This window comes from Homo sapiens, chromosome 17, assembly GCF_000001405.40.
Source record: "Homo sapiens chromosome 17, GRCh38.p14 Primary Assembly".
NCBI classification, from domain to species: domain Eukaryota; kingdom Metazoa; phylum Chordata; class Mammalia; order Primates; family Hominidae; genus Homo; species Homo sapiens.
The window spans coordinates 36602860-36629374 of record NC_000017.11 but is presented as its reverse complement, the minus strand read 5'-3'; the positions used below and the strand labels follow the sequence as shown (position 1 = coordinate 36629374).

General features: G+C 51.5%; 1 protein-coding gene across 6 annotated transcripts in view, besides 1 other annotated feature; it reads right to left on the bottom strand.

Annotated features, from left to right (window-relative positions):
* The window catches only part of MRM1 (mitochondrial rRNA methyltransferase 1), a 33116-nt gene that overhangs the window by 5324 nt on the left and 1277 nt on the right, over nt 1-26515 (bottom strand). For 4 of the 6 annotated variants that reach the window (XR_934554.2, XR_007065467.1, XM_011525275.3 and 1 more), the window contains exons 3-4: nt 21573-21705; nt 21357-21476 (exon numbers count right to left, since the gene is read on the bottom strand). Coding sequence is in view for 4 of the 6 variants with exons in the window: in XM_011525275.3 (XP_011523577.1) it covers nt 21357-21476; nt 21573-21705 (253 nt within the window). In the remaining 2 variants the exon portion in view is untranslated. Of the gene's footprint in view, nt 1-20410; nt 21133-21356; nt 21477-21572; nt 21706-26094; nt 26447-26515 lie in introns of those variants that run through there. The other 2 variants (NM_024864.5, XM_005257694.6) reach the window with 2 other exon arrangements.
* Nucleotides 2071-2571: an enhancer, noted in NCBI's record as "H3K4me1 hESC enhancer chr17:34983260-34983760 (GRCh37/hg19 assembly coordinates)". NCBI's record gives its function as "activates a minimal SCP1, AML or CMV promoter by ChIP-STARR-seq in primed H9 embryonic stem cells {active_cell/tissue: H9 hESC(primed)}" and the evidence as "EXISTENCE:reporter gene assay evidence [ECO:0000049][PMID:30033119]".

The window sequence follows — 26515 nt, the reverse complement described above, 5'->3', positions numbered from 1 at the left end:
GTGCAGAAGGGGAGACGCCCTCAGACTCACAGAGGGCGCCAAATCTAGACTTCTGACATAGTGTCCAGATGACACTTTTCCTCCAGTCATGGGAGAGACCCTAGAATCCAGCGAGGGCAGTCCCCTTGCAGTGTGAGAATGTAGGATGACACTGCCTGCAGGGCCCTGTCACTATTTGAAAGGCTTAAAATGACCTTTCGAAGAGCCTAATCTCTTTGCACTATTTTGTGTGCACTGGTGAAAAGTAAACTTTCTAAATCGGCCATAATTTGGGTGACCTCTTTTTGGCAAATCTTAAACAAGAGCCTCAAAGAACAGGGGCTAAGGCATTGTCAGACCCAGAAGAGGCCCCACCGTGTGCATGAAGCCTGCACTCCATGCCTTGCTCAATCTGTTTCATGGGTCTCTCTCTCTCTCTTTCTCTCTCTCACTCACTCTCCTCTCTCTCTCTCTCCATCCTTGATCAGCCTGATGGAGTCAAAAGACCACTAAGTCCAGGCAGGGAGGTCAGGCTGATCTGGGTTTGAATCCTGGCTCTACATGAGCTGTGTAACCTTGAGAAATTCACTTGAAATTTCTAAGCCTTACTTTCCCCATCTGTAAAATGGGGTTGTGATGAGCATTGTGTGAAATAACAAGTTTGAAGCACTCAGCAAAGTGTCAGCTGCTTATCAGAGGCTCAGTAACTGCCAGTCTCATCCTCCTCATCTCTCTCAGGGCCTCCATCGCTGAGTCAGTGTCTCTCTGGGGGTCCGCTTCTGCAGCACCTGGCACAGGGTCTCCATCATTCTCTTGGTCTCGGAGCACTGGCCACACTGCACCTTGCATCTCACACTGCATCCTGCATGTCCATTTTCCATGGTTATATCCATCTACTCCCACCCACCTGATCCATGACTCGGAGCTTCCTAGGGTCTCTGTTTCTCTCTTCTTCCCCTCCGGAAGCCCAGCCCAGTTTTGAGCCCATGGCAAGTGTGTATCTGCCTGCAGCTGAACTGAATGTTCCCAGGCACAGTTAGAGAAGCCTGTTCTGCAATCCAGGAGCTGAACCAACACATGTTTCTAGCCCTGCCAAAACATACATTTTGGCCAGGTGCAGTGGCTCGTGCCTATAATCCTAGCACTTTGAGAGGCCAAGGCCAGAGGATTGCTTGAGGCCAGGAGTTTGAGACCAGCCTGAGCAACATAGGGGGACCCAGACTCAAAATATATACATACACATTTTCTCTCTCAGTAAAATGGTATTGAAGCTCCTGACTTGCACAATTGTTAAAGGGATTAGAGAGAGGGCATTTGCAAAGGCATTCATAAAGAGTATAAAACACAGTAGGCCCTCAAAAAATAGAACTTATTACTATAACAGCTAGGGAGGCCCTGTTGATGTTCAAAAATATGTCCAGGCTGGGCGCAGTGGCTCACACCTGTAATCCCAACACTTTGAGAGGCTGAGGTGGGCAGATCACTTGAGGTCAGGATTTCAAGACCAGCCTGGCCAACATGGCGATACCCTATCTCTACTAAAAATACAAAAAAATCAGCTGGGCGTGGTGGCGTGTGCCTGTAATCCCAGCTACTCGGGAGGCTGAGGCAGGAGAATTGCTTGAATCCAGGAGGCGCAGGTTGTGTGAGCCAAGATTGCACCACTGCACTCCAGCTTCAGTGACCAAGCTGGTCTCAAAAAAAAAAAAAAAAAAAAAAAACAGTGTCCAAAGAAGACAGGATGAGTAGTATAATCTCAATTGTACAACTTCAAAAGAGACACCAGGGCAAGGAGGCAGAAGGCAAGAAGGGAATGGTGGGACACGATTAATATTGGCCAAGATTATAACCCAGTCAGGGTCTCGTCAACAATTTAAGAGTAAGGCATCCCACAGGCCAGGGGTAACCAGGTGGAGAGAATCCTCTTTCCACCGGATAGGGATGGGAAACAGGCAAAGCGGGATGGGGAATGAGAGGCGAACAGCCTCTTTATTAACACAATTATTTTATTTGCCGAAAGGTAATCATCCTAAGTGAGGTCAACGGCGGCTGGCACAGGACTGGCCCTGCAGGCGGCTGGGCCACGTTGCCATGGTGACGGAGCCCGCTCACTTCCAGCAGCTGCAAGGGCTGGAGAATCCTGAGGAAGGAGACCCCAGGTCTCTTTTCTTTCCCCCAAAAGGGGCTGAAGGAGACCTGCAGGTGTTTGCATTCCCCGTCCCAGCCCCCAAGAGACAGACTAAGAGCCCCTGGGGAAATGTCCCAGCCCAGGTTCGCAGGGGGTCCATCCTGGAGCACAGGGGTCTCTGCGGGCATCATCTCATTCTGTCCTACAATAACCCTGTGAGGAAGAGGCTACGCATCACCTGACCATTTCACAGAAAGCTGTGGCTCAGACTGTCCGCAGATGCGCAGCATGTGGGGATTTGGGGGCTGGGGTCTGAGGCCTGGGGCACCATTTACATTTGCCTCAGAGTCAGGGCTGTGACAATGACAGAATTAAACCTACATCTTGAATAATCAGAAAAACTGATGTGGAGAAAAACACACTCACCCGGCAGTCAGAAAGGCCTGGGTTCGAGTGTCAACCCTTCCCCTTACAGGCCACGTCACCCTCAGCAAATTTGCTCTAAGCCTTAGTCTGTCCAGAGCATTCTGCACCTGTGACTTTCCAGTCTCTGAAAGACAGAGCCATGATCAAGGTGTGCTTCCCCATCTGTAAAATGAGCCAACTCAGTTGGGTGCAGTAGCTCACACCTCTAATCCCAGCACTTTGGGAGGCTGAGGCAGGCGGATCACTTGAGGTCAGGAGTTCGAGATCAGCCTGTCAACATGGTGAAACCCATCTCTACTGAAAATACAAAAATTAGCCAGGTGTGGTAGTGGGCGCCTGTAATCACAGCTAGTCAGGAGGCTGAGGCAAGAGAATCACCTGAACACGGGAGGTGGAGTTTGCAGTGAGCCGAGATCACGCCACTGCACTCCAGCCTGGCAACAGAGGTAGACTCCATCTCAAAACAAACAAAAAAAGCCACTCAACCCTGCCCTGGGGACCCAGAACGTCAACAGTGACTGGGAAACTCACGCACTACACAAACAAGAGCAGCTGGCTCTGTCATTTCACCCAAATCTTCAGGGATGGCAGCTCTGCAGAAAAGGGACACAACATGCACTGTCCCCAAGTCCTCCAGCCCTGAAGTCCAGCGGTGAGGATGCCAGGCTGGAAGTCCAGGGGACAGCATAGCAGAGGCAGGATGGGTCCGGGGGCGGGGAGGGGAAACGCAGCCAATCCTGGGGCCATTTTGCTTGTGCCCGCAGTGTCTGTCGCCCTCTGGTGGACGCACCTGACACAGACGCAAGGAACAGCTGTGCAACCAGAGGGAATTCAGGTTGGGGGGTCGGCGGGGGGGCATGGCTGGAGGAACTAGGAGCATCAGGGGAGGCTTTAGGGGGTGATGAGATTTGAGCTGGGCCTCCCAGAAAGTGGCTGTGGGGAGGGAGTGGGAGGGAAAGCATGTCAGAAAATGGAAATTGATCCAATAAAAGCCTACAGATTGTCAGGTGTTGTGGGAGTTTGGGGAACAGGGCATCATTTGGGTGGGTACAGCAAAGGGACTTCAAGAAGCCCAAAAGGGGCCGGGTGCAGTGGCTCACACCTGTAATCCCAGCACTTTGGGAGGCCAAGGCAGGCAGATCATTTGAGGTCAGGAGTTCAAGACCAGCCTGACCCACATGGCGAAACCCCAACTCTACTAAAAATACAAAAATTAGCCAGGCGTGGTCGTGGGCACTTGTAATCCCAGCTACTCGGGAGGCTGAGGCAGGAGAATCATTTGAACCCAGGAGGCGGAGTTTGCAGTGAGCCGAGATCTTGTCACTGCACTCTAGCCTGGACAGAGTAAGACTCTTTCTCAAAAAAAAAAAAAAAAAAAAGGAGGAGGAGGAGAAGAAGAAGAAAAGGAGAAGGAGGAGGAGGAGGAGAAGAGGAAGAGGAAGAAAGAAGACGAAGAGCGAAGAGGAAGAAGAAAAAGAAGAGGAAGAGGAAGAAGAAGAAGGCGAAGGAGAAGGAGAAGGAGAAGAAAGAAGAAGAAACAACCAGACTGGGGCCAACTGTGGACAGTGTTGACCATTATGCTCTGTACTTTATCGTGGAGGCAATAGGGAGTTATTGAAGGTTTCTGAGCAGGGGTAGGCCATGATAGGATTTACATTTTAGGCATATCAGGTGGAGAGAGAGCAGAGGTGAGGAGCCTACTGGAACTCACTCCTCCAGCACATTGTTACTCACTAACAAGAGCAGCACTTCTGACCTCGCTGGAGACTTTACAAAGCCTTTTTCTTACCTTTACACACCAGACTTCAAGCTAGGTGGGTTCCCTGACTCAAGCAGCTTTGGGGTGAGGTGAAGCTCTGGGCTCTGGTTCCCACCCCAGCTTCCTTCACGTCAGCATCCTAGCATTGATTAAAACAGTGTGCAAGTCCACCTGAAGGGTGGAGGGGTGGGGAGCTGGAAGGAGCAGGAGTGGGGAGGGGAGGGTGCCCATGTACTCAGAGCCTGCTCAGTTCCTAGCCGTTTCCTGCGCTCCTCACTGTGAAGGAATTATCCCTATGCTACAAGAAGGAAAACGAGACCTGGGAAAAGAAGAGCCCAGGACCCCCAGGGCCGGGACACAAGTCTGGGTGTGTCTGACCCCAAAGCTCCTCATCCCAAAAGCAAGAAGAGAAGCAGGCCTCAAAGAAGCCACACCCCTCATCTCTGAAGGAGACGCTGAAGGCCCCTGTCCTATCCAGCATCCCCTCCACCAGTCACAGCAGACACCGGCCTCCTATGACATGCGTGCTCATGGATGCTCATGCTTTGAGAGACCCGGTTGTACTGATGACATTCACAAAGAAGAAGTTCATCTAACGTCCCATTTTGGATTCATCAGCCTCATCTGAGACTGTCAATCAGAGTCTCCATCCTGTGGCCAATGACACTGAGCAAGTGGCTGGAGATGGCAAGGGGTGCTCAGGGTGGGGTCTATGCACAGAGCTGCCTTGGGGGACCCCAGGTGGGGCAGCTGACAGTCAGGAGGACTTCTGAGGAAGGGGTGGATGGCAGAAGGTAGAGTTCTTGGGAAGGTGATCACCTCTCCCCCGTCAGCTGGTCATACCAGGTAGGCCCCTGAAGGGTGACAAGGGCAGCAGGTCTGAGGGAGGCTCCAGGACAGGGGAGAGACTGGACACAGAATCAGAGACAGGGTGAGAGACAGAGAAAGGGAGGTGGCGGTGCTTGTTTCACAGCTGGACTTGGCGGTGGTGCCCAGGGTGCTGGCCACACTCCAGCAGGGTAATAGCATCAGCTCCAGCCTAAACTTTAATCAATGAATCCAAGGCTTGGCCACAATCAGCAGTGAGGAAGATTAGCAGAATCCTGGGAGGGGAGAGGGACGGAAGTGCCCAGCCAAGGAAGACGGTGCATGGGATCTATTGCAGGTCCGAGCGGGGGCTTCCAGTGCCCCTTCCCACCGGGCATGAAGTGGAAGCAGAGGTGGGAGTCAGACAGCTACATCAACAGCAAGGGAATGAATCTGGCCCACTGAGGCTCAGCGAGACCCCAACACAGGCTCCAAGCCACTCTCCCCCAATCCCAACAAGCCTCAAGTGAGACACCAAGAAGAACTTACCAACCAGGGAGCCCCCAGGATGCCTGAGCAGGGGCAGCGCAAGGTGTTCACATCATCCCTACCTGGGCAGGGGTCCCAGCATAGGAGCTGGAGTGCCCCCACCCTCCCCTTCAGGCTGGGCTGCACAGAGGGATGAACTGAATGGGTCACATTCTTACCCCTCAAGTGCTTTGGAGAGAGGGTAGAAGGAAGGAGGAGACAAACCAGTTATCATCTGCCCTACATAACTTATTAGCATCCAGGCGAGATTAATCAAGCCCAGAAACCTCGAGCACACCCCTAATTAGTTGCTGCTGATAACTATATTTGTCATGCTTTCCAATTATTCCACTGTAAATTTCAGAGTTTAATTGCACCTTGTTCTTCATTGAAGTGTCACTGTTTGCACACGCTCCCCTAATTCTTTAGCAAATTTGACAAAATTCAGCATTAAATATAGATTATCTTTAGATTTCCATAATTAACACAACCAAACTGTCTCAGGCCTAAATATTTCTCCCAGTATCATAAATCTGGCCTGTCCCTGGAATCCGAAGGGCTGCTTCCAGCTCCCCGGCAGAGGCTGCAGGGAGAACACACATGCACAGCCATGAACTCACATGACACGCCTGTGCAGGGCTGGGGCAAAAGGCGGCAGTGATACTTCATTGAGGGCACACAACTGGGAACATACCCCGTGCCCCATATCAGTAGGGGCTCCATCAAGATGCCCACCCTGGGGCGTGGGGCAGTGTCCCAGGGCTTGGAGGGCCAATTCAGGATCGCAGCTGACCTCTGCGCCTAGCGAATGGGCTAGAGGGAAGAGGCTCGGCCTACAACCAGATCACAAGCCTCCCCACCCAACAAAGGCCAAAGGGCCCCTTCTGTGACTTTTTTTTGTCCCTGTCAAGGCTGACCTTGATGTTTGACATTACCCCAGGAGCATGACCCAGGCAGACATGAATGCCCTCATGCCATACCCCTGCAGGGCACCGCCACTGCCCAGCCTTCTCTCTTAGTCCGCTCTCTCCAGACTCACCAGGCAAGTATATGTCCATCCAACTCTAACTGTCCCCCACCTGGGACCCTTTAGTTCAGATTAGGGGATGAAGGAATCCGACATCAGGTTTGAAATGATGCCCCCATATGAGGTTTGAATTTTTTTTTTTTTTTTTTGAGACGGAGTCTTGCTCTGTTGCCCAGGCTAGAGTCCAGTGGCTTGATCTCAGCTCACTGCAACCTCTGCCTCCTGGGTTCAAGTGATTATCCTGTCTCAGCCTCCTGAGTAGCTGGGATTACAGGTGCGCACCACCATGCCCAGCTAATTTTTGTATTTTTAGTAGAGATGGGGTTTCACCATGTTGCCCAGGCTGGTCTTGAACTTCTGACCTCAGGTGATCCACACACCTCGGCCTCCCAAAGTACTGGGATTACAGGTGTGAGCCACCACGCCCAGTCTGAAGTCTCTTCCACCAGCCCCCAAAACCCCAAATCTAACATCGCAAGGAAATCAGCAGGGTGTCCCATTTCCATAGGGACAGGAGGGGGCAGGAGGCAGCAGGGAAGCCTGTGCCCTTTTCAGATCCCAGCCCAGCCTCTGGCCCCTGGTGGAGGAGAATCATATCTTGGGTTTATCCCAAGTCAAGCCCCTTCCCCAGGCTGGCTATCTCATGGGCAGCAGAGCATCCAGAGTTCAACTGCAAGCCCAGCCCCCCATGCCCCCTGCAGTCACGCAAACACACCTGTACACACAGAGGCAGATGCACAGATGCAGAAATGGAAAGACACAGATGCACAGAGACACACCACAGAGATACACACAAAACACAAACTGACACACAGACAGATACACAATGCAACACACAGCCCAAGCCCTGTAGGAAGACGGGGATAGACAGACGGGGAAATACTCCCTCCCCAGAAATCAGTGACATACCCAGGGTCTTGCCACATTGAAGGGCCAAGGGGGGCTGGGGGCCCCCTTGCCCTCCATGCCACCTGCCAACCCTGACACCCCTGTTTCCCCGGCGTAGCTGCAGGGGTAGTTGAGGGGCTGAGGTGGGAGCAGGCAGGAATACAGAAGAGCCTCAAAGTGTACTCACAGCAAATTTGGAAGAAAATCGATGGCCTTTAATGAGATTTGATTTTTTCTCCACAATGGGCTGGGCTGGTGGTTGTGGGGGGATCTCTGGGTGCAATGTGCAAGGAAGTGAGCAGGGGCACAAGGTGCAGGGCTGAGAGGGACTGGGAAGCCGGGAGTGGGGAAACACCAGGGTCAGCAGCTACAGGGACAGGAAGAGGCAGAGGATAGACAGACAGGCAGGATGTCAGTGTCAGGCCGTCACTTAGCCCCACCTGTCAGAACAAGAGAGGGGCCCTGAGCTGGCTTGGGTGTATACTGTGGCCCTGTTGGGTTCTAGATGCGGAGTCTGCACTCCCAGCCCTCAGTAGGAGATAAAAGGCTGAGGTTCATCCAGGTTATGAGGCTGGCAGGGACCAAGCCATGGGGAGCAGTCACAGGATGGGGTATGTTGGGGGTGTGGCTGGCTTGGGTCCTTGGCTTCCAAGGGTGCTAAAAGGAAAATTGTAAGGAGCTTAATTCTGATCAGTGCAGTTAACTGAGCACCTGCCAGGCTCCAGGCCCCTGTTATTGTTATTCTGCAGGAAACCCCACAAGAGAGGTGACAACCCCTTGCTCCCAGATGAAGAAAATTAGGATCAGAGACATTAAAGAAATTGCCCAAAGCCACTCAGCCAATGGCTGAGGCAGCAACTGAACCAAGGTCCACCAGATTCTAAAGTCTGTTTCTTCCGTTCTGCCTGCAAGCAGCACCTGGCAGGCGATGGAGGCACATCTTAGTCTCTCTTCCTCTCTTCCAGTCCAGGTCTCCAAGACCTATGGATGGGTTGGGCCAGGGCTTGGGTTCAGGCTCCAGGGTGATGGCAACTTAAGGGAATCTCCTGCACAGCTAGGCTTCAAAGCACAAGACTTCCCCAGGCACAGAGGAGGGCATACCTATCAGCTGCAGCCCCGTCCATCCCACCCTGCTGGCTGAACCTTTGAGCTCCCTCCTTCCTTATGGAATCATAGAAGGGATCAGAGGCCATCAACCCCAAACATATCTTCTGTCTGAAGCCCCTGTGAAATATTCTGAGTGATCAACTGAGGTCTCGCACAACTCTAGTGACAGGGAGCTCACTACCTCCAAGGTATCCTCTTCCACTTCTGGAATCTTGCTAGATTGAGCTGCTTTTTGCCTCCCTGGGCCTCCTACTGGTCCTGTTTCTGCCTTCTGGGTCATCACTCTGCTCCACGAAAGCCCCTCTGTAACTGGAATACCACAATCACTGCCTTCCCACCACCTGGGGGCTTCCATGCTCCTGGCTAAACACGTCATCATTCCCTCAACTGTTGCAATAGTCCCTGACCATTCCCTCCCACCCACCCAAAGGCAGAATTATTGACAGCATAAAGGAGTGGTTTGGCAATGATTTCTTATGACATCAAAAGCACAGGTAACAAAAGCAGAAGTAGAAAAATAGGATTACATCAAAATGTAAACTGTGCATCCAGGAATACAACCCGCAGAGTGAAAAGGCCACCTACACAATGGGAGAGAATACTAGCAAATCTTATAACTGATAAGAGGTTAATATTCAGAATATATAAGGAACTCCTACAACTCAATAGCAAAAAAGTAAACAACCTGATGTAAAAATGAACAAAGAGCACGAATGGACATTTCTCCAAAGACGACACACAAGTGGCCAGCAAGCCTATGAAAAGATGCCCGACATCACAAATGACCGGAAAAACGTAAATCAAAACCACAAGGAGATGCCGCCTCGCATCCATTATGATGGCCACCATCAGAAAGACAGAAAATAAACAGTCTTATTGAGGATGTGGAGAAACTGGAACCCTTGAGCACTCTTGGGGGCAGTGTAAAATGGTGCAGCTTCTATGGAAAACAGTATGCAATTCCTCACAAAATTAAAAATAGAATTATAATCGGATCAGCAATCCCACTTCTGGGTATATATTCGAAAGAACTGAAGGCAGCGTCTTTTTTTTTTTTTCTTTTTGAGACTCACTCTGTCGCCCAGGCTAGAGTGCAGTGGTGCGATCTTGGCTCACTGCAACCTCCGCCTCCTAGGTTCAAGCAATTCTCCTGCCTCAGCTTTCCAAGTAGCTGGGATTACAGGCATGCGCTACCACACCTGGCTAATTTTTGTATTTTTAGTAGAGATGGGGTTTTGCCATGTTGGCCAGGCTGGTCTTGAACCCCTGACCTCAAGTTATCCATCCACCTTGGCCTTCCAAAGTGCTAGGATTACAGGCATGAGCCACTGCACCTGGCCCAAGGCAGGGTCTTGAAGCGATATTTGCACACCCATGTTCCTAGCAGCATTATTCAAAAAAGCCAAGAGGCAGAAGCAACCCAGGTGCCCATCGATGGATGGATGGATAAACAAAATGTGGTGTACACAGACAATGAAATATTATTCAGTCTTAAAAAGGAAGGAAATTCTGTCACATGCCACAATATGGACAAACCTTGAAGACATGATGCTAAAATAAGCCAGTCACAAAAAGACAAATGCTGTATGATTCCACTCTATGGGGTATCTAAAGTCATCCAATTCATAGAAACAGAACAGAGAATGGTGTTTGCCAAGGGCTGGGTGGTGGATGGGGAGCTGCGGTTTAAAGGGTAGAGTTTCCGTTTTGTAAGGCAAAAGAGCTCTGCAGAGCTGTTGCACAGCAATGTGAATATACTTAACACTACTGACTGGTACACTTAAAAACAGCTAAGACAATAACAACAAAAGCCACAATTCTGGAGTCAGACTTGGGTTTGAGTTCCAGCTCTGTCACATGGCCTGGGGCAAGTTGTCAAATGTCTCTAAGCCTCAGTCTCCCCAGCTTTACAACAGGGTAATGATAGAACCTAATTCACACGATCTCATCGACAAAGCAGGTGAAGTGTCTGGGACCTGGTCAGTTGGCTCTGGAACCATGTTCTGGAAGCTACCCTTGTACGGAGGCTGCGCAGGTTGGAGTTGGGCAGCTTCCAGCCCTGGGCTGTCCGCTCCCAGTGGCACCCAGCCTCTATTTCCGTGACCTCTCCGTCTGTCCCATTTCCTCTCACTGTCCTCCCTCCTTACCTCTCTCCAGCCACGCTGGCCTAGAGCACACCAGGCACACTCCTACCCAGAAGCCTTTGCACTTAGAGTTTCCACTGCTTGAAATGCTCTCAGGGACTCACTTCTGCCCTTTCTCCAGGTCTTTGTTTACAGTCCCCCTGTTTAAAATTGTGCCCTCCCCCAACCACGGGGCTCTATGTCCCCTTCCCCTGCTCTACTTTTCTTACAACATACTATATAATTTTACTTATTGGTTGTCGCTGACTTGCTCACTGCTATATCCCCAGCTGGCACAGAGTAGGTGCTCAATAAATACTTGATGAATGACAGCCTAAGCTAAGCCTTGGCGTTCTGTCCTTAGAGGCCCTCTGCCCCCAGCCCCAAATTTCATCATTGTGGTGTCTGCCCCCTTAAGGACTCCCACTCCCAGGTCCCCTTAAGGACTCACACTCCCAGGTCCCCTCAAGGACTCCCACTCCCAGGTCCCCTCAAGTGTGGGGGGAGAACCCCACTTCCCCCTAAAGCCCCAGGCTGCCCAGCTGCTGCTCCACTGGGACCTCAGCACCAATTCTGCCCATCAATATCAGCCTGCAGCAGTCACACTTGAACACCCACCCCAATCGATAACCAGCGGCTGCTATCGATCAGCCCCGAGGGCACAGGAAGCCGGTGGGGAGAGGGAAGGAGAGGACCAGGCATGGTGTGCGGACACAGCCTCAGAGAGGGAGCAACAGCAAAGAGCCCCCAGTGACCCGGCCAGGGCAGGCAGACAGGACAGAGCTCATCAGAAACCAGAGGCAGAGGTGAAGGGGGAGGAGAAGCCAGACCCCAGGCTAGGAAGGGCAAAGGGGCAGACACAGAGGGAGGCTGCTGAGAAGAAGGAAGAGGCAAGATAGGAAGGGTTGGCCAGGCGCAGTGGCTCATGACTGTAATCCCAGCACTTTGGGAAGCCAAAGCGGGTGGATCACTTGAGGTCAGGAGTTCGAGACCAGCCTGGCCAACATGGTGAAACCCCGCCTCTACTCAAAATACAAAAATTAGACAGGTGTGGTTGTGGTGGGAGCCTGTAATCCCAGCTACTCGGGAGGCTGAGGCAGGAGAATCACTTGAACCTGGGAGGCGGAGGTTGCAGTGAGCAGAGATCAGGACACCGCACTCCAGCCTGGGTAACAGAGCGAGATTCCGTCTCAAAAAAAAAAAAAAAAAGACGGAAAGGAAGGAAGGGTTATTGAAGGTCTACCATATGCCAAGGGCATCATCTCTCAAGCCTCCCAGCACAACCGTGGGTGAAAGCAGTTATTGGCTCTATCTTACAGGGAGGAAACTAAGCTCAGAGGTTAAGAAACTCACCCCAGGCCTGAGCCTTCAAATCTGGGAGCAGAGCCAGGATTTGAACCCATGTCTGGAGTCTCTGTGGGGCCAAGGCTCTTTGCAGCACCCCACAGTAGCTCTGAGCTGTCACTTCTGGGCTTCCAGCCTGGAACACCACCTAAAGCCAGTGGGAAACTGGATGGAGGTGCCTCCCAGCACCTCCACTGGAATGTCCCACTTAGAGCTTGTCAAGGTAGCTCGGAAAGCCTGGGCGGTGGTTCATGCCTGTAATCCCAGCTACTCGGGAGGCCGAGGCAGGAGGATCACTTGAGCTCAGGAGTTCAAGGCCAGCCTGGGCAACATAGGGAGATCCCATCTCAACAACAACAAAAACGTTTTTAATCAGCTGGGCATAGTGGCTAAGGAGGCTACTCAGGAGGCTGAGGTGGGAGGATCACTTGAGCCCGGAGTTGGAGGCTGCAGTGAGCTATGATTGCATCACTGCACTCCAGCCTGGGCAACAGAGCAAGACCCTGTCTATAAAAGAAAACAAACAAACAAACAAAAAGTATGGTAAGGGAAACAAGATGAGGCATGTAAGCCCATGGTAAGTGCATAACAAATGCTAGTACCATCATCATCACCACATCACTCCTCCTCCTGTTCCAAGCACACGGCTTCCAGGTCGCACACTCACTGAAGCGAGACTGTTGTTAAGAGTGTGTGTCGGCCTCAGGGCTCTGATTCAGACAAGATCCAGCCCCATGCACAGTGCCTGACCCAGGCTAATACCTGTATCTATGCAAGGGGCTGTCGACGGAAAGTCTGGCACAGGTGGGTCTCTGCAGAGCTGAGGGGCTGAGGGAGGCTGTGAAGCATCTCCTCAGCCTCAATTAGCTCCCTTGTTTCAGAGAAGCAAGACCAGCTGTGGCTGGGGATGATTTCTGACTTGCCTCCTCTGACACTGCTTGAAAGTGGAAGGTCAAGGCCGGCTGGAGGCGTGCTCAGGGATCTGCCCCTCCAGCCCACTTCAGAGAAGAGGAAGAGGAGGCAATCAGCCTCCAACCTCAGGACTTATTCACTTGTTCATGCATCATTGTGAAACACCCAGCACGTGCCTGGCCCTGTGGTGGGACCTGGGAATACAAAATCAGTAAGGGTGATTCCTGCTTGAAGGTCTAAGTGGGGCAGGGATATTCCTAGAGGGCGGGAGGGGCTTATGTGTCTGCGGTTGTAGGGAGCAGGCGGCCTGCAAGAAAGTTTTGTTGTCGTTGTTGTTGTTGTTGTTGTTGTTGTTTGAGACAGTCTCACTCTGTCGCCCAGGCTGGAGTGCAGTGGCGTGATCTCAGCTCACTGCAACCTCTGCCTCCCAGGTTCAAGTGATTCTCCTGCCTCAGCCTCCCGAGTAGCTGGGATTACAGGAATGCACCATGCCCAGCTAATTTTTGTATTTTTAGTAGAGATGAAGTTTCACTATGTTGACCAGGCTGGTCTTGAACTTCTGACCTCAGGTGATCCACCTGCCTCGGCCTCCCAAAGTACTGGGATTACAGGCATGAGCCACCACGCCTGGCTTAGTTTCCTCTTTCTAAGGGGAGCTGTTTAGCCCATGAATTTTTTTTTTTTTTTGAGACGGAGTTTTGCTCTTGTTGCCCAGGCTGGAGTGCAATAGCGCGATCTCAGCTCACCGTAACCTCCGCCTACTGGGTTCCAGGGATTCTCCTGCCTCAGCCTCCTGAGTAGCTGGGATTATAGGCGCCTGCCATCATGCCCAGCTAATTTTTGTATTTATAGTAGAGATGGGGTTTCTCCATGTTGGTCAGGCTGGTCTCAAACTCCTGACCTCATGATTCGCCCACCTCGGCCTCCCAAAGCGCTGAGATTACAGGCATGAGCCACCGCGCCCGCCAGCCCATGGATTTTTTTCTCAGGTTGCAGATAAACCACAAAGGTACTGCTTCTCATGGAATCTCCCTTCTGATGCCTACAAACCTTACCAAGAAAGCTGGAGCCCGAAGGGGGAGAAGGGCCAGACTGCAGAGAGGGCAGGAGAAAGACAGGCCCAGCCCCTCCTCCCCGGCCCACAGCAGCTGGTGAAGGGTGTCCTCTGAAATGGAATACTGTGACCGAGAGGGCACATGGCAGGGGCGAAGGACAGGCATTTCCATAAAAATCCTTGGAGTGCAGTCAGGAGGAGTCCTGTTTCAAAGCAGCCTTTGCAGAGCCTGAGGTAGAAATCTCCTGGTCCTGATTCAAAGAGCAGCCCCTCTCCCTTTCCCAATCTGGGGAAGGAGCTGAGCCAATTAACTGGGAGGCAGAGCTCGAGCCCTTTCCAGCTTCTCTGGAGGTGCTAATGGTCCTCAGGGCTCTGGCCCTGCTCCCCTTCCACCCACCCCCAATGGGCTACATACAGTTCTGCGATTTAAGAACATAGTTTTGAGAGCAGTTGTTTTGCCCATAAAATAACTACAATATTTGAGCAAATAAATATTTTATTTGCCCATAAAATAACTACAATTATTGAGAGTTTACAATTTACTGGGCACTGTGCTAACCCCCTGTGAGGTATGACATCCTCATTTTACAGAAGAGACAACTAAATGTCCTAGAGGACAAGCATCTTGCCTTGGGCATCCAGCTAGCAAGAGATGGGTGGGATGGGAACCTGAGACTGCGCCCTGTTCACAGGGGGATTCTGAAGGAAGGGAAAGTGGCCATGTTGGGGTGCCCAGGAGATGGGGGATTAAAACCTATGGATTAGAGGTTGAGGGAAGAGGATAAAAGGAAGGATCCGCTCCAGGTGCTTCGTCCCCTGACCAGGTTTCCAGGACCCTCAGGAGAGGGGGACAGTGACAACCTCTGGTCAGCGGCCAACATAAAACTGCCTCTATGTCACCTGGCGCACAGGCCCAGAAGTGAGAGGCACTGAGCTCTGGGCTGGGTAGGAGGCCGTTAGAACTTTCTGGAGCACCTCCCCCAGCAGGATGAGCTGAAGACCACTAGGGAGGTGTTAATGAAACAGGGAAGCTGCAAACAGACCCAGGAGTGATTCCAATCTGACACCTCCCCCTACGCAGCCCCCACCAGTAATGAGCTGGGACTTGCCCTTCCCCCCAGAGAGCAGGGTGAGGGGAGGAGGAGGCGTTCTTGGGCATTTTTTTTTAGCTTCAAAAGCCTCTTTTCATCATCATCGTCATCATTGTCATCGTCATCATCGCATTGAAAAGCTCACATTTATTGAACACCTACTGTGTCCCGGGCACTGTGCTAAGTCTTTTTCATGTATCCCATCATTAATCCTCACATACAAACCTTAAGCCTACATGGTAGGTAGTATTCTTATCTCCATTTTGCAGATTAAGAAACTGAGGCTCAATCAGGGTAAGTGACTTGCCTAAGGTAGGGCCCACATGTGGAGCCGGCACTGTCTGACATCCTGCTTTTGGTACCGGACTTCTGACCCACCGAGAACTCCTGCAGGGGGACATGTTTGTGTGGCCTCAGGGCTGCAGCTGAGTGGTGAATAAAGGCAGCGCGCCCAGTACACATCCTTGAAGTTCAGAATTGGGAAGAAAGACACTGGTAGACTGAGTCGGTGGGACAGGGATGAGTAGGATCCTGGCCTTGCCGCCAAGCCTCCCTGTCTGCTTTCCCTGCTCTCCGCTTCCACATGTGTACACTGAGAAGGGGCCAGGAAGCTCGGGGAAGGAGGAGGAGGGACCTCTAGCTCTGTTCACTGCCTGGGGAAGGGGAGGCAGAGGGGTTCTGGCTGGGGAGGAGGCCTGAAGAAGTGGGGAGAGGTTGCAGGGAAGACCCCTGCCTCAAAACCCCAGGAGGGAGTGGCTGAGCGGCTCTGCAGTGGAGCCCCATGTTTGTAAACACCATTAATCAGGGATTAGCAGATGGGCATGCTAATTGCACCTGTGGAAGTGAGAAACCTCAAGGTTGATTACATTTACAAACTGTGGGGATCCCTGGCACCTGGCCCTGCAGGAGTCGGTGGTGGTAGTGGTGGTGTGTGTGTATGTGTGTCGGCAAAGCGGGGGTGGGAGGTGTGCTGTCTAATTCAGGACCCCAACCTAGGGGGAGGGGGATTGACAATTTAGCCTCCTGCCAAAAAAATATTCCAGGCCTGCAGCAGGGATCTGGGGTGCCAGCCTTGATTTAGCTGCTCCGAGAATACCAAGTCACTGCCAATTCTTCTTAGACCCTTTCCATCTCGGCATCTCAGGATCTTGGAGCCCTGACAAAGGGGGATCCTACAAATGTCATTCCAACCCCTCTCCTCCCTCAACTCCCTCCAGCAGTTCCCAGTGGTAAATCATTGTGCACTGCAGATGAAAGGGGCCAGAGCCTACAGGAAAACGGAGGCCAGGTTGGTTGGGAAGCACAACCCAGCACCCTGACCTCTAAATCTGGCCCTAGAGGCTTTGAGGAGCAGCTACCATGCTCCTCCAGGCATGGGGCTGAGGGTTTTACATGTATGACCTCTTTCAATCCATACCACCATCCTTTGAAGTGGACACCACTGTCATCCCCATTTTATAGGCGATGAAAACTGAGGCTTGGAATTTAAGGGACATGTCCACATTTATACTTCTAGCAAGCCACAGAGTTGGAACTCAAAGCAAGCACTGTCTAGCAGCCAGGCTCCTGCTCTTAACCACCACTGCTCTCTCCTCTGACTTCATTCCAACTTTGCCCTGCAGGGGATGGACCCCCACCCAGCCCCTTCACACCCACAGCCACAGCCTCCCCAGCTCCCGTGTACTTAACCCACACTTGCTGAGCAGTGTCCACTCAGTGTATAGGCACCGCGCCAGGTACCAGAGGCTGCCTAAAGGAGAATCAGGCCTCATCCTCCTCATCCTTAGGACCTCAGACCCTTCCTCTTTGTTGGGGGACTGCCTGTATACCAGAAATTAGCACACACCTGTGTGTGTATGGCCTGTAATTTAAGCCTCAATCCCCTTTGGTTTAAGTGAACCTGTCTTCCCAGAGGCCAGCCAGCCTGCTGCCCAGGGAGTGAAGCAGGGAGAAGCCCCCTGTACCTGACTAAGCCCAGGAGAGTCTTCTAGATGGCCCAGACCACTGGGACAGGGAAAGCTGATGAACAGCATGTCCAGGGCAGGTTAGATCGGGTTCCAGCCACCATGGAGGAGTCTGTGGGGGGTGGGGTGCCTAAGTAGCCCCTACTCCAACTTCTAAATTCCATGTTGGGCTTGGTTCTAGAGAGCAAGCTGAACCCTGCATCCCATATGCAGGGAGCACTGGGACGCCTACATTCATTTTCATCAACTGCATTAGGTTTCTCCAGAGAAACAGAAACAACTGTGCGTGTGTTCAAGAGATTATAAGGCATTGGCTCATGCAATGATGGAGGCGGGCAAGTCTCAAGACGTGCAGGGTGAGTCAGCAAGCTGGACGCCCAGGAGAGCTGATGGTTTCATTCCAGCCTGAGTTTGAAGGCCTGAGCACCAGGAAAACCAATGGTATCATTTCCATTCAAAGGCCAGCACGCTTGAGATCCAGGAAGAGCTGATATTTCAGGTCTAGTCTGAAGGTAGGAAGGATTCTCTGACTTGGGAGAGGTCAGACTTTTTGTTCTATTCAGGCCCTCAACTGAATGGATGAGACCCACTCACATTAGGGGTCTGCTTGACTCAGTCTACCAATGTAAACGTTAATCTCTTCCAAAAACAGCCTCAGAGAAACACCCAGAATGTTTGACCAAACATCTGGGCAACCCATGGCCCAGTCAAGTTGATACACAAAATTAACCACCACATCAAAGTCTGTATTATTGTGCGCTAGTCCTGGGGTGCAGTGTCCTCTGGTTTACAGAACATCTTTTACCGATACTCTCATTTTATTTTTATAACTTCTGTTGAAAAGGAAGGGGGTAGATAGGGCTGGTAGTAATGGTACTATCCCCAAGATGAGGAGGCTGAGAAGCCATCTAAGTGGAAAGCCATGGAGCCAGGACTGGAATGAGCACCTTCCGGAACCTGAGGGACAGATGAAAGCTCACCCTCACCTAAACTTTCAGGCATGAGCTCAAAAGCACAGGTGTGCATGGGAAGCAGTTTCTTGGACATGAGTGAGTGGCTCAAAGGCCACTGATTCTTGAACCTGGTCACACAATGAGATCAACTAGTAGCTTTAAGAAATATCGGCTGGGCATGGTAGTGCACGCCTGTAATCCCAGCACTGTGGGAGGCCAAGGCGGGCAGATCACCTGAGGTCAGGGAATTTGAGACCAGCCTGGCCAACATGGAGAAACCCCATCTCTACTAAAAATACAAAACTTAGCTGGGTGTGGTGGCACATACCTGTAATCCCAGCTACTTGGGAGGCTGAGGCAGGAGAACCGCTTGAACCCAGGAGCCAGAGGTTGCAGTGAGCTGGGATTGTGCCACTGCACTCCAGTCTGGGCAACAGAGCAAGACTCCGTCTCAAAAAAAGAAAAAATAAAAACCAACACATGGCTCCTTCTCCAGAGATTCTGATTTAATCAGTCAGGTGCCTCTGGGCTTCTGAAATATTAAAAATATTCTCCTCCTTGACCCCAATGACAAGCCAAAGTGAAACATCACTACACTAGGCACTTGGCCAAGAATGAAGCAGGGATGGGTCAGAGCCTGCGTGGCAGTCAGGGACAGGGAGCTCAAGGGGGGCAGAAGCTGATCAGTGCAGTTTATGAAGGAATTCTGTCCTCTTTCTTGAGAGGAGTAACTTTGACTTTAAAAAGATCTTAGGCCGGGCGCAGTGGCTCACGCCTGTAATCCCAGCACATTGGGAGGCCGAGGCAGGTGAATCACGAGGTCAGGAGATCGAGACCATCCTGGCTAACACGGTGAAACCCCGTCTCTATGAAAAACACAAAAAATTAGCCAGGCTTGGTGGCGGGCGCCTGTAGTCCCAGCTACTCAGGAGGCTGAGGCAAGAGAGTGGCATGAACTCGGAAGGCAGAGCTTTCAGTGAGCCGAGATCGCGCCACTGCACTCCAGCCTGGGCAACAGAGCGAGACTCCGTCTCAAAAAAAAAAAAAGATCTTAGGCCCTTTTTAGGCCAGGTTCACACCTGTAATGCCAGCACTTTGGGAGGCTGAGGAGGGCAGATCACCTGAGGCCAGGAGTTTGAGACCAGCTTGGCCAACACAGTGAAACCCCATCTCTACCAAAAAAAAAATATAAAAATTAGCTGCGCGTGGTGCACGCCTGTAGTCCCAGCCACTTGGAAGGCTGAGGCAGGAGAATCACTTGAACCTGGGAGGCAGAGGATGCAGTGAGCCAAGATCGCGCCACTGCACTCCAGCCTGAGCGACAGAGTGAGACCCTGTCTCAAAAAAAAAGGAGCATAGGCCCTTTTTAAACAACTTTAAGTGTTGCTCTAAATTGGCATTGCCATTATTAGAATTGAGACAAATCCAATGCAGATGGATTCCAGAGAAAAGTGGAGTACTATTTATTGAGCACCTAATACATGTGAGTTCCTATTGCCCTCCATATTCTCCCAACAATCCAGGAAGGTAGGATTATTCCCCTTTCGCCCAGGAGGGCACCGAGGCCCAGGTGGGTAAGGAGCGCCCCCCCAAGGTCACATAGCAGTCAGGATTGCAAGTTCGGGGTTGCTATCCTCCAAAGCCATGCTCCAGGAGGGGAGATTTTTGTCTCTTAGAAGCCATCTGGCAACGTCTGGAGACATTTCTGGTTTCATAATGAGAGGTCATGCTACAGGCATCTAGTGCGTATAGGTCGGGGATTCTGCTAAACATCCTACAGTGCACAGGATGGCTCTCACAACAAAAAATTATCTGGCCCAAAATGTCAAGGGTGTGGAATTTGAGTCCACCTGCCCTAGTGGTGATTCTCAGCCTTGGCTGCACATTAGACCAATGGTGGCGCTTTCGAAAGCCGGATGCCAGGTGGCGCCACACCCATCATGTCAGACTCTCTGGTGTCAGTGTTGGGTTTTTTAAAGCATGCCAGGTGGTTCCAATGTGCCACCAGGACAGAAACACTTCTATGCTCCTCACACTGCTGGCTCCTGCTGCTTTCCTGGGACCCGAGGGGAGGAGTGCCAAATCTGTCTCGGTTGTACAATCAACGGCAAGCCTGCTCCCAGTTCCTCCCCTTGAAGGGAACTGACTCAGTCACCCGTGGGGGGCCCCCGTGGGGTGGGAGGTGTTTGCTAATTTCCCGTCGCCTCTCATGGGGCTGCAGCCAGGAGTCTCCCCGCAAGGAGGCTGTGGAAGCTGCCTGAAGACTGGACCGAAGAGCGAGGCTGCCACCTAACGGAGGAATTGGCCAGAATCTCCCACGTGCTGAGTGATGTTTTATTTGAGCCTCACAACAACCCTGTGAGGTAGGTGCGGAGTCCCGCGGCACAGAAAGATGAGGCCTGCGCTCAAGGCCCCAGGGCGGGGCCGTGTGTGGGCCTGAGGTGCGCACTGTCTACTCCACATCAGGGCCCCGCCCTCCACCCCCCACATTCTCATACACACATTTGCCACAGGCAATGACTGGTTCAAGAGGAACGGGTCCCCTGGGCTGGGCTGCCTGCCTCTCTGCAGATGTCTAAACTTTCCCTCAACTTCCAGGCAGGGCCTGGGAACAGATTCCCTCCATGCTAGGCCATCATGGCTTCCCATGGAAATTAACAAATCACCATGTCCTACTACAGGTCCAACATCACAACAGGAAACAGCTTCCTCTGGTGTCCACCGCAGTCCCCTTCCCCCCCCCCCAGACTGTGGTCAATAAACATGGGCCTGGTGCACACTCAGGCAGAGGCTCCCCGCACACTGGAGCCGGCGGAGGCAGGTGCGGCCGTCCCTGACTCCAGCACATGAACACTGTGGACAGTCCACGTCAGCCCTCATTTTGCCTCTCTTTCTCTGGGCCTGAAGACAGCCCTGGGTGCTGAGCCATGCTGAGCCCTTCAGACCTGGCTGAGGGTTCTTGGGGGTCTTGGAGAAGCTGCCTTCTCTCCCCCTCTGTGGGGAAACCCTTCCTCTGGCTGCAAATGGAGTGAAGAAGAATTCCTGCACAGACACAAGGACAAGGGAAGAGAGGACGGAGGAGAAGGATGATGTTTAGAGACCTAGACATTCAGGCAGCCCCTCATCTCATCAACGGGATGTAATTTCCCCATTTTGTACATAAAGCAACTGAGGCACACAAACAGCCAGCAAATGGGATTAGAGGGCATCAAATCCCACCTGCGTGATTAGAGGGATAGAGGAAAGGGAAAGGGGAGTAGACTCACCTGCAGCCACAGAGACGTTCAAGGACTCAAGTCCAGGAGGCAGCTGGCGCCGGGGCAGGATGGTGAGGAGAAGCTGGCAGGAGGCCTGCACCTCCTGGGATAGACCTGAGCCCTCATTCCCTGCAGGGCGTGGGGCTGAGGGTTAGGGTTGCCCAGCTGGACACCCAGTTGCTCGGGAAATGTAATCTGGGCACAAACGCAGGGACATCCACCTACCCAGCACAAGGAGAGTAGGCCGTTCCCAGAGGAACTCCAAGCAACTCATGATGGGGATCTCGGAGGACTGGGGATCCTCTGTGCTTGGGCAGCCCACCGTGCCGGCCACGAGCCAGCCCTGCTGGGCTTTGGTCTGAAAGGGGGAAGAAGATATGTTCTAATTCTTTTTTTATTTTAATTTTGAGATAGGGTCTTACTCTCGCTCAGGCTGGAGTGCAGTGGCACGATCACAGCTCACCGCAGCCTCAACCGCCTGGGTTCTGGTGATCCTCCCACCTCAGCCTCCCAAGTAGCTGGGACTACAGGCACTCGCCACCCCACCCGGCTAGTTTTTGCATTTTTTTTTTTGAGATGAGGTTTTGCCATGTTGCCCTGGTTGGTCTGGAACTCCTGGCTTCAAGCGATCCTCCCACCTTGGCCTCCCAGAGTGCTAGGATTACAAGCGTCAGCCACCATGCCTGCCTCTCCTATTCTAATTCATCAAATCTTCATCAGAGGCTGTATGCAGTGGCTCAAGCCTGTAATTCCAGCACTTTGGGAGGCTGAAGCAGGCAGATTACCTGAGGTCAGGAGTTCAAAACTAGCCTGGCCCAGGCACGGTGGCTCACGCCTGTAATCCCCAGCACTTTGGGAGGCCAAGGCAGGGGGATCACCTGAGGTTGGGAGTTCGAGACCAGTCTGAACAACATGGAGAAACCCCGTCTCTACTAAAAATACAAAATTAGCCGGGCATGGTGGTGCATGCCTGTAATCCCAGCTACTCAGGAGGCTGAGGCAGGAGAATCGCTTGAACTCGGGAGGCAGAGGCTGCAGTCAACCGAGATTGCGCCATTGTACTCCAGCCTGGGCAGCAAGAGTGAAACTCCATCTCAAATTAAAAAAAAAAACAAAAAACCAGGCGCAGTAGCTCACGCCTGTAATCCCAGCACTTTGGGAGGCCGAGGCGGGCGGATCACCTGAGGTCAGGAGTTTGAGACCACCCTGGCTAACATGGTGAAACTCCGTCTCTACTAAAAACACACAAAAAATTAGCTGGGTGTGGTGGCACATGCCTGTAGTCCCAGCTATTTGGGAGTCTGAGGGAGGAGAATCGCTTGAACCCGGGAGGCGGAGGTTGCAGTGAGCTGAGAGCACACCACTGCCTCCAGCCTGGGCAACAAAGCGAGACTCCACTCTGTCTCAAAAAAAAAAAAAAGACTAGCCTGAGCATCATGGTGAAACTCTGTCTCTACTAAAAATACAAAAATCAGCCTGTAATCCCAGCTACTCAGGAGACACGAGGATCTCTTGAGACCAGGAGGCAGACATTGCAGCGAGCTAAGATTGCGCCACTGCACTCCTGCTTGGGTGACAGAGTGAGACCCCCATCTCAAAAAAAAAAAAAAAAATTATCCATCAGAGCCCTGGCCAAGGAAGAGCCCAGCCTTGCCCATACATTCATTTATCTGCTGATCCAGTCAATTAGTCAATAGTTATTAAGCACCTAGCATGGGCTCTGTTCTAGGCACTGAGGACAGGGCACTGAACAAAACAAAACAGACCAAAATCCCAGCCTTGTGGAAGGGCAGGTGGGGATGGACTCACTGAGGTGACATTTGAGTGCAGACCTGAAGGAGAAGGAGGAGCACCGTGCAGACATCTGGGGCAAGAACATTCTAGGCAGAGAGATCAGCAAGCACAGAGGCAGGTGCCTCCCTGGCATGTTTGAGAACAGTAAGGTGGCCAGTGGGAAGAGAGGCGTCAAGACAGAAGAAGGAACAAGAGCCACATGAGGTATGGTCTCCAGGGCTACTGGAAGGACTCTGCCTTTGAATCTGAGCGGTACAGAGGCTTTGAAAGGTTTTGAGCAGAGAAGTAACATGGTATGACTTCAACAGAATCACTCTGCCTGCTGTGCTGAGAGCCAAGAGCAGAAGAAAGGAGGCCAGGTGGGAAGTTTCTGCAATAACGGTCAACAGATGATGGTGACTTGCTTGGGCCAGAGTGGTAGCAGTGGAAACAGGCAGAAATGGTGATAATACGGAAATAACTTTAGTTAAGGATGATGCCAAGGTTTTTGACCTAAACAACCAAAGGGATGGAGTTGCTCCAGAAGGAACAAGCGCTCAGTTTTAGAAATGTTAGGTTTGAAATGCCCGCCTGACAGCAAAACAACAACAACAATAACAACAACTGTGCAGTAGGCAACTAGATGAGTGAATCTGGAATTCAGAACCAAGGTCCAGGCTGGAGTATACACTTGGGCGGGAATTTGAATTCAGATAGTATTTAAAGCCATGAGACTAGATGAGACCAACAAGAAATGAACATATACAGAAAAGAGATCCAGGACCAGGTGAGGTGGCTCACGCCTGTAATCCCAGCATTTTGGGAGGCTAAGGCAGGAGGACTTCTTGAAGCCAGGAGTTTGAGACCAGCCTGGGCAACAAAGTGAGACCTCATCTCTACAAAAAAAAAAAGAAAAAGAAAAAAGAAAGAAAAAAATTAGGTGAGATGGTGTGCACCTGTATCTCCAACTACTCAGGAGGCTGAGGTGGGAGGATGGCTTGAGCCCAGGAATTCGGAGGCTATACTGAGCTGTGATTGTGCCACTGGACTCCAGGCTGGGCAACACAGCAAGACCCCATCTCTCTCTCTCTCTCTCTCTCTTTTTTTTTTTTTTGAGATAGAGTTTCACTCTTATTGCCCAGGCTGGAGTGCAACGCTGTGATCTCGGCTCACTGCAACCTCCGCCTCCTGGATTCAAGCAACTCTTCTGCCTCAGCCTCCCGAGCAGCTGGGATTACAAGTGCCCGCCACCATGCCCAGGTAATTTTTGTATTTTTAGTAGAGACAGGGTTTCACCATTTTGGCCAGGTTGGTCTCGAACTCCTGACCTCAGGTGATCCACCTGCCTCAGCCTCCCAAAGTTCTAGGATTATAGGCGTGAGCCACCGTGCCTGGCCAAGACCCCATCTCTTAACAACCGCTCCCGGCCAAGACCTCATCTCTTTTTTTTTTTTGACACGTCACTCTGTCACTCAGGCTGGAGTGCAGTGGCACAATCTCGGCTCACTACCACCTCCACCTCCCGGGTTCAAGCGATTCTCCTACCTCCGCCTCCCGAGTAGCTGGGACTACAGGCACGAACCACCACACCCAGCTAATTTTTTGTATTTTTAGTAGAGATGGTGTTTCACCGTGTTAGCCAGGATGGTCTTGATCTCCTGACCTCATGATCTGCCTGCCTCAGCCTCCCAAAGTGCTGGGATTACATGCGTGAGCCATTGTGCCCAGCTGACCCCATCTCTTAACAACAACAACAAAAGAGATCCGAGGACTAAAATCTGGGAAATGCTAATGCTCGGAAGTCAGGGGGTTGAGGAAGAACCACTAAAAATGTCTCTCAGAGAGGACATGGTGAAGCAGAAGGAAAGCAGGTATAGTGTTTCAAGGAGGAAGGAGTGGTCAACTGTGCCAGCTGCTGCAGATGGGTCAAGTCAGAAAAGAATTGAGAACAGACCCTGGAATGCAGCAACATGGAGGCCACTGGTGACCTTGATGAAGCCTTTGATTCAGTGTGAGAGGAAGAGCTGACTGGTGTGAGATCAAGAGCGTGAGAGGGGAATGTTTGCTTGCATGCTGAAGAGAGTGTAAGAGAAAAGTGGATGCTGCAGGAAGAGGAGGAAAATTGCTACAGCAGTGTCTCTGAGTACGCAGGAAGGGATGGGGCCCCAGCACAGGCCCCTGCTTGGGGCACCTCCAGCTCTTCCACAGCAACAGGCGGATGACACTCTCCAGGTCAGATGCTGATGACAGTAGGGAGATGTGATGCCTGGAGCTTAAGTGGATGTTCTGCAGTGTTTCTGTGTTTTCAGAAGCTACCTGTTCAGGGGCTGGAAGTGATGAGTGGGAACCTCATCTCCTATCAGGCTTGGAGAAAGGGGCTCTCTACAAAAAAGTGAAGCCAAAAAATGCTTCTAGATATGTGCTGTTCAATATAGTAGCCACTAGCTACATGTGGCTATTAAGCAATTGAAAGGTGGCTAATTCAAATCGAGGTGTGTTGTATGTAAAACATTTTTTAAAGGAATGTAAAATATTTCATTAATAATATTTTTTAAAGGCCAGGTGCGGTGGCTCATGCCTATAATCCCAGCACTTTGGGAGGCCGAGGCGAGTGGATCGCTTAAGGTCACGAGTTCAAGAACAGCCGGACCAACATAGTGAAACCCCATCTAAATACAAAAAAAAAAAATTAGCTGGGCATGGTGTGTGCCTATAATCCCAGTTACTTGGAAGGCTGAAGCAGGAGAATCACTTGAACCCAGGAGGCAGAGGTTGCAGTGAGCCAATATTGCACCACTGCACTCCAGCTTGGGCAATAAGAATGAAACTCTCTCAAAAAATTAATAATATTAATAATAATTAAAATGATTACATGTTAAATTGATATTATTTTGGATATACTGGACACAATTTATTTAAAATGTCATCTCTTTACTTTTCAATGTGGCTACTAGAAAAGCTAAAACTACCTATGTTTCTCACACCATATTTTTATTGGACAGCGTTGTTCTAGACAGGTCCCAGAGCTCTCCCCCTTCTTAAGAGGGAAATTTCTCACCCTGCAGTTGGGGTGGGGGTTGGGGGGGGTATGGTCAGAGGGGATTCCATATGCAGAGCAATACTGCCTCCTTGTGTCCAGCAAGGGAAGCACAGCTGAAGACAAACGGATGGGAGAGGGGTTTCCAAGGTTTGTCTCTTGCTAGATACTAATGGCATAAAGATCTTCTTGTTCAAACATCCTTTCAAGCTGTGCCCTATTCGAGGAACTCAGGTCTCCTGTACGCAGCTCCCCACAGCTGAACAAAATGCATTTACTGAAGCCCGACCTAGTAGGCAAATAGACACTGAGGCTGACTTACAGAAGAGGCAAAGTGGTGCATACCTGGGGAAGGGGT